At 40.7% G+C, this 15,815-nt stretch overlaps 1 protein-coding gene across 3 annotated transcripts in view, besides 2 other annotated features; it reads right to left on the bottom strand.

The window, feature by feature from the left end:
• Positions 1–1,473: 1,473 nt before the first annotated feature.
• Positions 1,474–15,815, bottom strand: part of FYTTD1 (forty-two-three domain containing 1) — a 38,064-nt gene continuing 23,722 nt past the window's right edge. For all 3 annotated transcript variants that reach the window (NR_027840.2, NM_001011537.3, NM_032288.7), the window contains 5 exons: positions 15,571–15,667; positions 14,860–14,921; positions 12,069–12,143; positions 10,606–10,732; positions 1,474–7,259 (listed from right to left, as the gene is read on the bottom strand). Coding sequence is in view for 2 of the 3 variants with exons in the window: in NM_001011537.3 (NP_001011537.2) it covers positions 7,161–7,259; positions 10,606–10,732; positions 12,069–12,143; positions 14,860–14,921; positions 15,571–15,667 (460 nt within the window). In the remaining variant the exon portion in view is untranslated. The remainder of the gene's footprint in view (positions 7,260–10,605; positions 10,733–12,068; positions 12,144–14,859; positions 14,922–15,570; positions 15,668–15,815) is intronic.
• Positions 6,432–6,631: an enhancer, noted in NCBI's record as "active region_21116". NCBI's record gives its function as "activates an Ori minimal core promoter by ATAC-STARR-seq in GM12878 lymphoblastoid cells {active_cell/tissue: GM12878}" and the evidence as "EXISTENCE:reporter gene assay evidence [ECO:0000049][PMID:35858748]".
• Positions 11,242–11,415: a silencer, noted in NCBI's record as "fragment chr3:197504526-197504699 (GRCh37/hg19 assembly coordinates)". NCBI's record gives its function as "represses an EF-1alpha promoter that drives an FKBP-Casp9 reporter gene in an ReSE screen in HepG2 liver carcinoma cells {active_cell/tissue: HepG2}" and the evidence as "EXISTENCE:reporter gene assay evidence [ECO:0000049][PMID:32094911]".

The raw sequence follows: 15,815 nt of genomic DNA, 5'->3' as shown, positions 1-15,815 counted from the left end.
AGGTCCTTAATATATTAAACTCTATGCTATCATAGGACTGAGTATATTTTTAGGAGTTAAAAAATTAGTCAACCCTTGCTTGTGCCTGTAATCCCAGCTACTTGGGAGGGTAAGGTGGGAGGATTGCTTGAGGCCAGGAGTTCGAGACCAGCCTGAGCAACATAGTGAGGGCACCCCACCTCCCACCCTCTGGTCTCTAAAATTTTTTAAAATAATTAGCTAGGTGTGGTGGTGCCTGACTGTAGTCCCAGCTACTTGGGATGGTGAGGTAGGTTTGCTTGATGCCAGGAGTTGAGGCTGCAGCAAGCTATGATTGTGCCACTGCACTCTAGCCTAGGAGAGAATGACATCCCATCTCTAAAAATGAAAAATAATTTTAAAAAATAATAAAAATGAGTGGAAAGCAGTAGAAACCAAAATAGATTATGTACACACACGAGAGGTTATGAGGAAAGGAAAAAGAATTACAATTTTTGGGCTGGGTGTGGTGGCTCACACCTGTAATCCTAGCACTTTGGGAGTCCGAGGTGGGCGGATCACCTGAGGTCGGGAGTTCGAGACCACCCTGACCAACATGGAGAAACCCCCTCTCTACTAAAAATACAAAATTAGCCGGGTGTGGTGGTGCACGCCTGTAATCCCAGCTACTCAGGAGGCTGAGGCAGGAGAATCACTTGAACCCAGGAGGCGGAGGTTGCAGTGAGGCGAGATCATGCCATTGCACTCCAGCCTGGGCAACAAGAGGGAAACTCCATCTAGGGAAAAAAAAAGAAAGAATTACAATTTTTAAGGAAAACAGGGTTCCCAAGTCAGTAGATCCCTGCTTTATTAAAAATATAAAAGTTAGCCAGGCATGGTGGCAGGCACCTGTAATCCCAGCTACTCGGGAGTCTGAGGCACAACAATTGCTTGAACCCGGGAGGCGGAGGCTGCAGTGAGCCAAGATCGCACCACTGCACTCCAGCCTGGGCGACAGAACAAGACTCTGTCTCAAAAAATAAAAAGAAAAAAGAAATGTAGATATTTAAAAAGCCAAAAGAAAGACCTGTGCATATGGGGGAAACTGAAGATGCTATATATACTATTACATGAGAACAAGTCCTAGGTAAAGGAAGGATGGAAGGAAAGATAGATTGAGCAGTTAACGCTGTGACTTCTAAGGAGTTGAGGCTTCAGCTACAAAGTAAAGGTAGACTATGAGGGAATTCTTACCCTACTCTCTCAGTCATCTCCATAAAGTAGGTGACAGCGTCTTATGAGAAAGAGATATAGGAAATGGAGTCTTTGTGGGGAGTTCACCAAAGAGTCTAATGATGAATAAAAGAAATGATGAAAGATAGTTGTACAAAGGCCAGGAGCAAAGTGGCTTACAGGGATCTGTAACTTCTTCCACCACTGGTCTGTGGTCTGGGAGCAGAAGCTGAAAAAACAGGCAGCGCAGGTTATTCAGTGTTAGCAATTGATACAGTGTACTTCCCAGTTCTTCCTGTTTATTTTACAGACTGAAAGTTAACTCATTCAACACAGGGGGCAAAAGTTTCACTCAAATCTTAATAGTTCTTTCCAGCTCTGCATTTCACTATATCATGCAAAGGTTATGTCCTCCCTTCCCCCTTCTACTCAGTAGAAACATATCATGGTCACTCCTTCTAAGACTCCACTTCTAGGCCGGGCTCCGTAGCTCATGCCTGTAATCCCAGCACTTTGGGAGTCAGAGGCGGGCATATCACCTGAGGTCAGGAGTTTGAGACTAGACTGGCCAATATGGTGAAACCTCGTCTTAGTACAAAAATTAGCTGGGTGTAGTGGCACGTGCCTGTAATCCCAGATACTTGGAAGGTTGAGACAGGAAAATCGCTTGAACCCGGGAGGCAGAGGCTGCAGTGAGCCAAGATCACTACTGCACTCCAGCCTGGGCAACAGAGCAAGACTGTCTCCAAAAAAAAAAAAAAAAAAAAGAATCCACTTTTAGGGCGGGCGTGGTGGCTCACACCTGTAATCCCAGCACTTTGGGAAGCTGAGGCAGGCAGATCTCCTGAGGGTAGGAGTTCGAGACCAGCCTGGCCAACATGGTGAAAACTCATTTCTACTAAAAACACAAAAATTAGTTGGCTGTGGTGGCTCAAGCTTGTAATCCCACCTACTTACGAGGCTGAGGGACAAGAATTGCTTGAACCCGGAAAGGATCCTGGGAGGCAGAGGCTGCAGTGAGCCGAGATTGTGCCACTGCACTGCAGCCTGGGTGACAGAGTATTCCGTCTCAAAAAATAAAAAAACTCCGCTTTTATAAACTCCAAGCAGTATGAATCCCATTCTCTTCCTTGCTGAATACATTTAATTCTAAATATTTGCTGAATATATTTAATAAATGTTTGATCCTTCCATTGCTTACTCCTTTAAAAACAAGTCCTAATAATTAACTTTTTTAAACTTTATACAGGAAAATTCAGACAATATGATTCTTTTCTCATTAAAGGGAAATGGAGTAAGTAGAAATTAAATATGCACACTAGGAGAATAACTTCCAACTAATCTTTAAACACTGGTATACCTCATCTGAATACACTCATAAGACGACATTTCAGTCCCAGAATGGCATCACATTTGCTTGTGTTATCAAGCTTCCTGTTAAACATAGGTAGAAAATAAGCTGTAGGCTGGGTGCGGTGGCTCACACCTGTAATCCCAGCACTTTGGGAGGCCGAGGCAGGCAGATCACCTGAAGTCAGGAGTTTGAGACCAGCCTGACCAACATGGAGAAACCCCGTCTCTACTAAAAATGCAAAATTAACTGGGCATGGTGGTGGGCACCTGTAATCCCAGCCACTTGGGAGGCTGAGGCAGGAGAATTGCTTGAACCCGGGAGGCGGAGGTTGGGGTGAGCCGAGATCGCACCATTGCACTCCAACCTGGGCAACAAGAGTGAAACTCCATCTCAAAAAAAGAAAAAAAAGAAAAAAAAAAAAAGAAAAAGAAAAAAGAAAATAAACTGTGGTGAGAAGGGAAATAAAAGATATTAGAAGTCTACAATTTCTAAGTAAATCTTTAAATCCCTATTAATGGTCCACCATAGTCCACAATTCTTGTTGTAAATGCTGTGTTTACTGAAGTATCATTTAAAAAAAAAAAAAAGAAGCTAGTTCCAAATTGATCTATCCAAAAAGAACCCTCTCTAAAGGGAAGTTTTACATGCTTAACTGCTTTTTCACAGTGGCAAAATAATAATAATAATAATAATTCTGATGAAAACTGAAAGCACTACTGATCAGAAATGAATTATTTTCTGCTTTAATATTGCCAATATGGTATTCATTTTCTGTGCTGCCAAGTGAGCTATTTTTTCTCTTATCTCCTTATAGTAAAAATAAATCAACAAAAATTATTCTGGGCCCGTATACTTTGTGTGAATTACAAAGCTATTTACAGTAAAATATTAATAATGATATACATACCTAGTCTAATAAAAACTCACTGCTGAGCAATGAGGCCTGCTGGGCCCGTATACTTTGTGTGAATTACAAAGCTATTTACAGTAAAATATTAATAATGATATACATACCTAGTCTAATAAAAACTCACTGCTGAGCAATGAGGCCTGTTTCCTCAGACACAGTATTTTACGATTGGCTTAAACAGTTGGCCCTTCAACAACATGGCTTTGAATTACCTGGGTCTACTTATAAGCAAATTGTTTTGAACCAAAAAAACATCTTGGAATGGAAAATCCATGTACACAGTGGGCCAACTTTTCGTTTACACAGATGTGGGACTTCAGTATTGCGCAGGGTTGGGTATATACAAGGGTCCTGGAACCAATCCTCCGTGTATACTGAGGGATGACTGTAATTAAAATTGTGGTGAAGAGTTTATGCCTGTTTTTAAAAAATGCATATCTGATTAGGAACACTGGACTTTTCTAACAGGTCTACCTAACCCAAATAGCAAAGTAATAAAGTATAACCATCACTGGTAGAATAGATTTACTTACCATGCTAAAAATGCTAAAGCATGGCTATTACCAATTCTTAGGTATTTGAAAACCACACACCATTCCACTATTTTCTGTGGGTGTTAATTCACCAAAGCAGTTTATTATCAATTAAGAATTAGAAGATCTGAGCTCAAAAAATAACTCTGCCACATGCAAGTCTTGAAAACACTAGGACTCACTTTACTAAGGTGTAAAAAGGAGGGGTTAAACTGGATTAGTCTCTAAAGGCTCATCTAACCCAATATTCTGCATTGCAAAGTATACTGGATTCTTTTTTTTTGTTTTTTTAAGACAGAGTGTCACTCTGTCACCCAGGCTGGAGTGCAATGGCGTGGTCTCGGCTCACTGCAATCTCTGCTTCCTGGATTCAAGCAATTCTCCCGCCTCAGCCTCCCAAGTAGCTGGGACCACAGGCACATGTCACCACACCAGCTAATGTCTGTATTTTTAGTAAAGATAGAGTCTCCCTATGTTAGCCAGGCTGGTCTTGCTCCTGGCCTCATGATCCGCCCGCCTTGGCCTCCCCAAGTTCTGGGATTACAGGCATGAGCCACCGTGCCCAGCCTGGATTCTTCTTTTTAGATTCATTTGTTGGAGCTACAAATGAAATCATCAAAAGAGAGAGGGATGCTAATAGAAGAGTCTACAGTGATTTACCAATTTTGCTAGTAGATAAGGTTTCACACCCTAAAAACTACAAATATAGATAACCACTACAAAGTTCTTCGTAACATAGAACAATCTAAAAACCACAACTCAATCTTTAGAGCTGAGAATAAATCATGTGAAACCTGTAACATTTTATTTGTTAAAAATGAACAGCTTCAGAATAGATCTAAATGTAACTTTTCCAAAAAACACCAAAAAGTACAGTGTAAAGCACCTCCTCGTTAAATACAAACTTTCATTTGGTGATGCACGGCACCAATGTTTTGCATATACCTTGATGCAAAGAAAAGTTTAAGTTGCATCCTGTTTTTAAAAAAAACCGAAACTTAAGAACTGAACAAGGATTACAACCACATTCCAATAAAGAAAATTTTCCTTCAACAAAGCATATTGTTTTGTTTATATACAATATGTGACCACCAAGAGTTTTAATTTAGTTGTACCAAAGGCAAAACATTATACTTAAAATTAAATTACAGATGCATGAAGAATAAAAGTTTAATGTATCAAAGATAATTTGTTATTTAATGCACTCAATGTCAGTATTTGGGGCAATTTTTAAAGTTTTCCCAAAAAATGGCATGAATAGCTCTATACAATAATAGGTAAGAACAGGAAAATGAAAACACCTTTATACCATATTTTCACAAACCATTCTAAAGACAGCAAACTTGAGCTCAGCTGCTTTTCCTTGCTTTAAAATAAGCTACCAGTAATTCTAAATCAGACTAAAATGTACTGTTCCTAGACCAAATACAGGCATTCATCCTTGCAAAAATGTTTTGCAATGAGTTCTTGGCCTATATGAAAAGCATCAAATAGCTAAGGAGAGACTAGAATTTATTTCCAAATTCTGTGACTGACTTCCAATAATCCCTTATCAGTACGAGTACCAGGAAAATATCAGATATTAAAGATCAGATTTAATTCTTTGGTATAAGCATGAAACTGTTACTGATAGCTTTCCATGGCGAGCATAAACCATGAAGCAACTCAAGAAGCATGAGAGACAACAATGAAATCTAGTATACAATGCAGGGCAGGCCAAGAACGATGTCTGCTTTACAGGAAAAGTCAACACTAACAATCTACTCCTGAGAAACTAACACCTATTTAGATGTTTTTAACATAATGGCAAACTAAAATGTCAAGCTTCAAAATGACCAAACTTGTAACGTACAGCTGGAAGATTTTGCTGCATTTGGCATTATACTGTAATTTACAGTATACAACATCTGGGGACTCAGTACTATCTTAGCACAGACTAACTTCTCCCACTCCGTCAGAGGTGGCAGGTGGCGGGTCGGTGGGGAGGGCCTTTTCTCCCCATAAATGCCTGAACTTTAATTTATACCATATAAGAAATCAGTGAAAGGTAAACAACAAGGTTAATGTAACTCTATTATAAATTTTGCATTTTTTTTCTCTGTGACATATACAAGTATATTTTTGTTTTTGGAGCTATAAATTATTTAATTTAGCAATCTTCAAAGCTCATAAATTTCAACTTTTCAAATAAGAAATTTTAACTTCAAATAAGAAGTCTAGGACTTTATGGCTATTAATTTTACTATCAAAATATCCAAGGGACTCCATTCAATGTAATAGTTATAATTCTTCTAAATATCATTTGAATAATTCTTTGTGGACGCTAGACTCAAGACTATGCTACATCCAAACAGTACATCTATAACCAGGGTTTTGAAGTGTTTCATCTCAACTACCTGTCCTTCAACTTGCTACTTACTTCCTCTCATGCCTTCATTTATTAAACACAAACTGTCATTTTTTAAAACTGGACCTTCTCCTCCAAGGCCCTATCAGATAACTTTGTGAATATGCATTTACAGTCTCTAAACACCAACATTTTAAACTAAGACTAATACCTAGGGCCACATTTCCTGTTAAAAGCTCAGCACTAAAGCTGTGTAATTCCAGGGGACTTTACACCGTCTGAAAGAGGAAGCACGTTCTGGATGTCCCCCTAAGTCTTCAAACCCACAGCTGGAAATTCTAATACATTGTTCTGTGTCTCTAATGAAGAAAAGGCAACGGCACTGACTACATCAACACTATTAAAGGGCAAGTGACAGCAACCAAGGGACCTACTCATGTTTATGAAGACCAGGATTTACCATGACAAAGTCTAAAACACGGGCAAAGGTGATGAGATCCTGAATACTGCTATCATAAAAATAATCAATTTCTATCTTTCTGTCTTCCTTCTGCTGCATGAGGAACCAAAGAAGTCAAACAGATGATTGTTCTGTCTGAGCCAACCATGAAATCTTTAAGAACAGACAGGTATAATCCCTATTATTCTTTCAGGGCATTATTTTATACGTTTTTTTTTTTAAAAAAAAAAACCTTCAAAAATAAAAATAAGAGTTATTTAGCCTTGTGAATATTTTGAAGTAAAGTTTCTTGAATTTCCGTGATGAACTCTTCAAGCAATTCAACTTCTCAGAGTCATCACTCAAAAGTTCCTTTGACATGGGACCTATCCCACGGTGACAAAGCGGCTTCCCCCTTTGTTGTATGTGAGAGTGGCTCTTTGTTCCTTCAGGATCCCAAACCGCTCATTCAACGTCATCCCTGTCTAGAGAAAAGAAAAAAACAAAAACAACAACAAAGCAACAATTAACAACTTTACTGAAGGCCATATTTGCTTTGGAACAATAATGTGATCTTATGATTAATTACAAGTAATGACAGCTAAAATTTCCTAAATATTTACATGTATGACCTCATATAAAGCCTACATTATATACTATATAAAACACACATATGCTATAATGCCTAGAAGTCATACACCCAAAGCCCCTATCTGAATTATTTTCAGGCTCTGTAAACACTGCCACCAACTCATGATGTCACTGATAAAAGTAAGAACTCTTCAGACCTGTAAATATTTTATAGCAAATTTTCTTGAATTACGGTGAGTTCAACACAGAAATTCAAATCAAATTCAAATGAAAATCTGTTTTTTTTTTTATTAACAACAGCATCTACAAACTATACCATTTCTGGAAAACAATAATAGCAACAAAATAAAAATAAGCAAAACAAATTTGGTCAAAATTTTTTTTTTTTTTTTATTGAGACAGTCTGGCTGTCATCCAGGCTGGAGTGCAGTGGCACAATCTCAGCTCATTGCAACTTCCGCCTCCTGGGTTCAAGCAATTCTCCCACCTCAGCCTCCCGAGTAGCTGGGATTACAGGCACGTGCTACCACACCCGGCTAATTTTTTTATTTTTAGTGGAGACAGGGTTTTTCCATGTTGACCAGGCTGGTCTCAAACTCCTGACCCCAAGTGATCCACCTGTGTCGGCCTCCCAAAGTGCTGGGATTACAGGCGTGAGCCACCGCACCAGGCCAATTTGGTCAAATTTCTATCCATCCTTTGTATCTTCAATTTCACATTATTTCAAGGATACCAAAAAAGCATTTGACAAAATTGAATACCCATTCTTGATAAAAATTCTCAGCATATCAGGAATAGAAGGGAGCTTCCTCAATCTGACAAAGAGAATCTATAAAAATAAAAAATAAAAAAAAAGAAACTGGGCCAGGCATGGTGGCTCACGCCTGTAATCCCAGCACTTTGGGAGGCCAAGGCAGGCGGATCAAAAGTTCAGGAGTTTGAGACCAGCCTGGCCAATATGGTGAAACCCTGTCTCTACTAAAAATACAGTAAAATTAGCCGGGTGTGGTGGCACATGCCTGTAATCCCAGCTACTCAGGAGGCTAAGGCAGGAGAATTGCTTGAACCCAGGAGGCAGAGGTTGCAGTCAGCCAAGATCATGCCACTGCACTCCAGCCTGGGCTACAGAGCAAGACTCCATCTCAAAAAAAAAAAAAATCTATGCCTAATATCATACTAAATGGTGACATATTTAGTGCTTTCTCTTCAGGCTTTGGAACAAGGCATGCATACAAGTATACATCTTACCACTTCTACTCAACATTGGACTGGAGGTCCTAGCCTTTGTAACAAAGCAAGAAAAAGAAAAGGTTTAAAGATTGGAAAGGAATTAGGAGAATGAAATGATTGTTTACACAGAAAATCCTAAGCTGGCCAGCCACAGAAGGCAGGCGGTGGCTTGAGCTTAGGAGTTCAAGACCAGCCTGGGCAATGTAGCGAAACCCTATCTGAAACCCTGTCTCTACAAAAAATATAAGAATTAGCCAAGTATGGTGTGTGTGCCTGTATCCCCAGGTGTGGTGTGTGTGCCTGTATCCCCAGGTGTGGGTGTGTGCCTGTATCCCCAGGTGTGCTGATGTGTGTGCCTATATCCCCAGGTGTGGTGGTGTGTGTGCCTGTATCCCCAGGTGTGGTGTGTGTGCCTGCATCCCCAGGTGTGGTGGTGTGTGCCTGCATCCCCAGGTGTGGCAGTGTGTGCCTGTATCTCCAGGTGTAGTGTGTGTGCCTGCATCCCCAGGTATGGTGTGTGCCTGTATCCCCAGGTGTGGTGTGTGTGCCTGCATCCCCAGGTGTGGTGGTGTGTGCCTGTATCCCCAGGTGTGGCAGTGTGTGCCTGTATCTCCAGGTGTAGTGTGTGTGCCTGCATCCCCAGGTATGGTGTGTGCCTGCATACCCAGGTGTGGTGGTGTTTGCCTGTATCCCCAGGTGTGGTGGTGTGTGCCTGTATCCCCAGGTGTGGTGTGTGTGCCTGTATCCTCAGGTGTGGTGGTGTGTGTGCCTGAATCCCTGGGTGTGGTGGTGTGTGCCTGTATCCCCAGCTACCCAGGAGGCTGAGGTGGGAGGAAGGATCGTTTGAGTCTGGGAGGTCAAAGCTACAGTGAGCTATGATTATGCCACTGCATTCCAGTCCTGGTGACAGAGTGAGACTGTTTCACAAAAAAAAAAAAAAAAAAAGTCCTAAGGAATCCACAAAGTCAATACAAAAGTAAGTGAATTTAGCAAAATTATAGGATACAAGCTTAATATGGTTAATACAAAATTGTCAATGTGGTTTTGACCTTTTTTTTTTTGAGATGTAGTATTGCTCTGTTGCCCAGGCTGGAGTGAGTGGCACGATCTCAGCTCCCTGCCAACTCTGCCTCCTGGGTTCAAGCAATTCTCCTGCCTCAGCCTCCTTAGTAGCTGGGATTACAGGCATGAGCCACCACACCAGGCTAATTTTTGTATTTTTAGTAGAGACAGGATTTCACCACGTTGGCCAGGCTGGTCTCGAACTCCTGACTTCAGGTGATCTCCCCACCTCGGCCTCCCAAAGTGCTGGGATTACAGGCGTGAGCCACCGCACCTGGTTGGTTTTGACAATTTTGTTATTAACCTTGTATCCTGTAATCTTGCTAGATGGCTATAGTCGAACAGCAGATAATAGTGAGTGTTGGTGAGGATGTAGAGAAATTCAGAACCCTCATAGATGCTGGTGGGAATATTAAGCTGTAGCACAGACTCTTCTAGGAAAAAAGCAGTCCAGCAGTTCCTCAAAAGGTTAGATACAGAGTTACTATAAACCTAGCAATTCTACTCCTAGGTATTTACCAGGGAGAAATGAAAACAGATGCTCACACAAAAACTTCTGCACAAATGCTCAGAGCAGTATTATTCCTAATATCCGAGGACTGAAAACACCCCAAATACCCATCCAGTAATGAAGGAATAAATAAGATGTGGTATATACATATGATGAACACTGTTCAGCAGGAAAACAAAATTAAACACGCATACAATATAGATGAACCTTTAAAACATTATGCTAAGTGAAAGAATTCAGTCACAAATGTATACCGTATGAGCTGATTTATATGAAATGTCAAAATAGGCAAATGGCAGACAAAAGCAGATTAGTGGTTCCCTAGGTTTCAGGGGGCAGTTAGGATACCTTGTTTATAATTCACTATTATAATAAATACTTTGTTAATTAAAATACTCAGCAAATGACCCAAGAAAATACAGAAAACGTTTTTTTACCTGTTTTCCGACACTGTTTATGTCAAACTGCAGGGGAACACCTTTAGGAACTTTCTTGACGTCACTTTGCTCCCGCTTTGTTAAAAATGAAGGTACAGCAGTACGAGTTAATCGTGGTTTCTGAGTTCTATTAGAAAAATATTAAAATATCAGAGCAGCTTAACAATGAAAAGAAAAATAAATTCACTTGGTACTTAAGACATCTTGTACACATGTTCAAATGTATTAGGGCCATTTTATTTGTGTTCTCAAAAAAAAAGTTTCACTGGCTACTCTAGACTAAAATATATAATTGTTCAGAGAATATCTCTTTAAATAGAACTACAAACTTTTCAACAAGTTGGAATGTTTGGTGATTCCTAACTCTTGATCTTCCATTAAAATAAAGCAACCTCTAAAGTCCTAGGTACCCATCCTACATGCTTTTCATTTCAATCATTAAGATGGCTGGAGGGCTAGGCACTGTGGCTCGGGCCTATAATCCCGGTACTTTGGGAGGCCAAGGCACAAGGATCGCTTGAGGCCAGGGGTTAGAGACCAGCCTAAGGAACACAGCAAGACCCCCATCTGTACAAAAAAAAAATTAGCTGGGTGTGGTGGTGCATGCCTATGTTCCCAGCTACTCAGGAGGCTGAGGCAGGAGAATTATTGGAGCCCAGGAGTTCGAGGCAGCAGTGAGCTATGGTGGCACCACTGCACTCTAGCCTGGGCATCAGAGTGAGACGTTATCTCTTAAAAAAATCAAGAGATGGTTGAATAGAACATAAGCTCCATAAATTGACAAAGTTTATAAAGCAATAAATTTAAAGAGAACGTAGGTCTGTATGGTCTGAAAAATAAAGACATCGAAAACATTACAGGGATTAGGAGAAGTAGCATGTATACCATCATCTCGTTTATTATTGTACACAAAAATATATATATTGGGTCAGGTGCAGTGGCTCACACCTGTAACCTTAGCATTTTGGGAGGCCAAGGCAAGAGGACTGCTTAAGTCTAGGAGTTCAAGACCAGTCTGGGCACAAACAAACAAAAAAGCCAGACATGGTGGTGGGCAACTGTCGCTGCAGCTCCTCAGGACTCGGGAGGCTGAGGCAGGAGGATCGCTTGAGCTTGGGAGGTCAAGACTGCAATAAGCCATGATCATGGCACTGCACTCCAGCCTGGGTAACAGAGCCAGACCTTGCCTCCAAAAAAAGGGTACACAGAGTATACATGCACATAATTTTTAAAACATAAAAAACACTGTTCCAACGTGGTCATTTAGGGCTGCAGAATCAGGAATCAAGAAAGCTCTTACTTTACTTTACACCATATACTGTTTCCATATTGTATCACAGGTATTACTGTCTTCCTGGTTCATCCCAACTTGGACATCATTCTCTGAGCAGAAGTCCAATACTTTCTTATGATCTCATGTAATGAGAGGTTATAATTTTTGCAAAAAGAAAGAAACAACTTACACTGGGCATTGCACTGCTCCAGGATTGTCAATAGATACAGTCAAAATCCCTCCATTTGTGGTGGAAGTCCGCCATCTAGTTTCAAAAAAAATAAAAAAAATTCATTAAATGTAAGTTGATAAACCCTATGTATATTCAAAATAAAAATGAACATTAAAAGTAGCCATTACTTTTTCTTAGCTTGTAAGAAATAAGTACCTGAACCCCACCATGATATAATAAATCAACATCTTGGGTGCGGAACTGGGCATCTGAATTAATTTATTAAATATTTTTCAGTGTAATAAATGTATACAAATTTAAAAAAATCAAATAGTACAAAAGAACTTCTAATAAAAAGCAACAGTCCCTCACCCCACTATTCTCCTGCTTTCTATTCCTACTCTCCAGAGGCAGCACTTTTAACCTGTTTTTACTGCTTTCTGGTTACTTCCAATTCACTAAACAAGATGCTTACATAGTAAAAAAAAAACCTTGCTGCAGCCGGGCACTGGCTCACACCTGTAATCCCAGCACTTTGGGAGGCAGAGGCAGGTGGATCATGAGGTCAGGAGTTCAAGACCAGCCTGGCTAAGATAGTGAAACCCCATCTCTACCAAAAAAAAAAAAAAAAAAAACAAATTTAAGCTGGGCGTGGGGTGTGGTGGTGGGTATTTGTAATCCCAGCTACTCAGGAGGCTGAGGCAGAGAACTGCTTGAACCCGGGAGGGGGAGGTTGCAGTGAACTGAGATTGTGCCACTGCGCTCCAGCCTGGGCAACAGAGCGAGACTCCATCTCAAAAAAAAAAAAAAAAAATTGCTATGATGAATAAAGATTTAGTTCGTCAAACTATCCTCCAGTTTCCTTACCCACCATGAAACATTTTGATGGCTGTATCACTATTTCCAGGCCTTTGTAACTGAAAATACTTAAATCTCTGTTTCTTTCAGCAGAATCTCTTGAACCCACCCCCAGCTTTATGTGAAAGGATAATAGTGCCTCTATTCCTTCCCTCCACCTCTGCTCCTTTGTTTGTACCTCTCACTTTCTGTCAGCTCTTCCTTTATATTCACATTAGTCAAAATCGGACATTTACATTATATTGTTCTCAAATTAACTATTTTGTGCTTTGTCTAACAGGTTGATTCTCAAAGTTCAAAACAAATAACATTTATATGATCACAATTATGTAAATATTGTTCACTGCAGAAGCAAAAAGGCTACAATTATTATTTCTTTCCCCATGGTTTCTAATGTCATGACCCCTGTGCTAAAGAATACCACCTGTATCAGTTTCACAGTTTCCTAACACTCCAATTGCTAAAAATCATGCACCACAGTTGGCACCATATCTGGGCCCTGACCATGTTTTACAGCCAGCTCTCTGTATCCACAGGTTCTACGTCCATGTATTCAATCAGTTGCAACCGCAGAATGAAAACAATCCACGGATATGGAGGGCCGATTGTAAGGGACTTGAGTATCTGAGGATTTTAATCTCTTCAGTGGGCCTGGAACCAATTCCCCTGAGACACAGAGACAATCCGCGGATATGGAGGGCCGACTGAAAGGGACTTGAGTATCTGAGGATTTTAATCTCTTCAATGGGCCTGGCAACAATTCCCTTGAGACACAGAGGGCCAAGTGTATATATTTTATTTTCCAAAAAGTAGTCATAATTTTAAATAGTTTAATCTCAAAACCTAATCACACTGATGGAATTAGTATGTTACAACTCACACTTAGGAGGTGTGATTATAACAGGATAAAATAGGTTTTCAAAAGATTTTTTATAGGGCTAAGAAAAAAAGACTGTGAAAAGGAAAACTATTGTTTTTAAAGTTGTACAAATGTTCTAAAAGCTCCACTGAATTTTATTCTATTCATTCCCTAAATAGGTTCATTTGTATGAAAGCAGTTATAGCAAAAAAAAGAAAAAGAAAAAGCTGTTTCATTAAAATGGTATAGCCAATAAAAAATAAAAATAATAAAAATGAAGTAATCTACGTGGCACTAAAACTGTTACAATATCGACACATGAAAACTCAAAAGGTTTTTGGGGAAAATTAACAAAGGACAAAACAAGATTTATTTATTTTAGCCTCAATGTTTAAAAATTTTTTTGGAGACAGTCTCCATAGCCCGAGCTATGCTGCTCAGGCTGGTGTGCACTGGCCATCGAGCTATGCTGCTCAGGATGGTATGCACTGGCGATCGAGCTATGCTGCTCAGGATGGTGTGCACTGGCCATCGAGCTATGCTGCTCAGGCTGGTGTGCACTGGCGATCGAGCTATGCTGCTCAGGCTGGTGTGCACTGGCGATCGAGCTATGCTGCTCAGGATGGTATGCACTGGCGATCGAGCTATGCTGCTCAGGATGGTGTGCACTGGTCATCGAGCTATGCTGCTCAGGCTGGTGTGCACTGGTCATCGAGCTATGCTGCTCAGGATGGTGTGCACTGGTCATCGAGCTATGCTGCTCAGGCTGGTGTGCAGTGGCAATCAAGTTATGCTGCTCAGGCTGGTGTGCAGTGGCATCGAGCTATGCTGCTCAGGCTGGTGTGCAGTGGCGATACACAGGTGACATTATGGCACTTCACAGCCTTGAACTCTTGGGCTCCATCAATTCTCTTGCTTCAGTCTCCCAACTAGCTGGGATTACAGGTGTGTAGCACCACTATGCCCAGCTTTCAGACTGAATTTTATTTTGGGTTTCAATTAATTTCTTCTGGACTGAGGTACATGATAATTTGGGTAGTTAGTATTCTGGGAGTTTTGAAATAACATCTTAAAAAACAAATGGAAACTTACTGACGAGTTCTCTTTGCTACTACATCGTCTAGCAGTTGTTCTGTATTCAACTGGGCCTGCACCTGAAGGGAAAAAAAAAGCAGTAGGTACCACAGAAAGCAGAGGATTTGAATCCAAAGAGCGATCCTGCTCTGGAACTTCCTAACCCAGTGGTGCGTGTACATGAGTGCAGCGGAGGTGCCTGCGCTATTCTACAACTTCCTAACCCAGTGGGGCGTGTGCGTGAGTGCAGCGGAGGGGCCCGCGCTATTCTAGAAATTCCTAACCCAGTGGGGCGTGTGCGTGAGTGCTGCGGAGGGGCCCGCGCTATTCTAGAACTTCCTAACCCAGTGGGGCGTGTGCGTGAGTGCAGCGGAGGGGCCCGTGCTATTCTAGAACTTCCTAACCCAGTGGGGTGTGTGCGTGAGTGCAGCAGAGGGGCCCACGCTATTCTGGCAACAGTTCCCTGTTGGAATTCCTACATGAGAACGAGTGGCAAATACAGGTTTATTCCCAAATAACGAGTTAAATTCTTATAAGACATTGCTATTGAGGGTAAGAAAAGATGGGAAATAAAAAACATACAACAGGAAGAACTAATCTACTACCACGTGCCTCACATCCTGAACCCAATGCTGCCTATGACTGAGGCTTACTAAAGGTGGCTGCTCAGGATCCTCTTTGGGAAAAAACAAACAAACAAACAAAAACACTGCCAAAGTTTTTAAATACCTTCAGGCCTCTTCTGAAAAGAAAAGTTGCCTGACGAGTATCTTTCTGATGATTTAATTTATTTCCACTCCTGGTAAAATTAGCTGGAATGTTATTTCTGCAACAAAAACACATAGGCCATGCTAAGCCATTTAACTACTTTCAAACATCTTGAGGAAAAATAAGCAAAAATAGTTAAATTCATAGGCTGCAAACATGAGGTGCAAGAAACAAACAACTCTGAATTATTTGCTTATTAACATGAA

Source organism: Homo sapiens, chromosome 3, assembly GCF_000001405.40.
Source record: "Homo sapiens chromosome 3, GRCh38.p14 Primary Assembly".
NCBI classification, from domain to species: Eukaryota; Metazoa; Chordata; class Mammalia; order Primates; family Hominidae; genus Homo; species Homo sapiens.
This window is presented reverse-complemented; position numbering and strand designations above follow the sequence as displayed.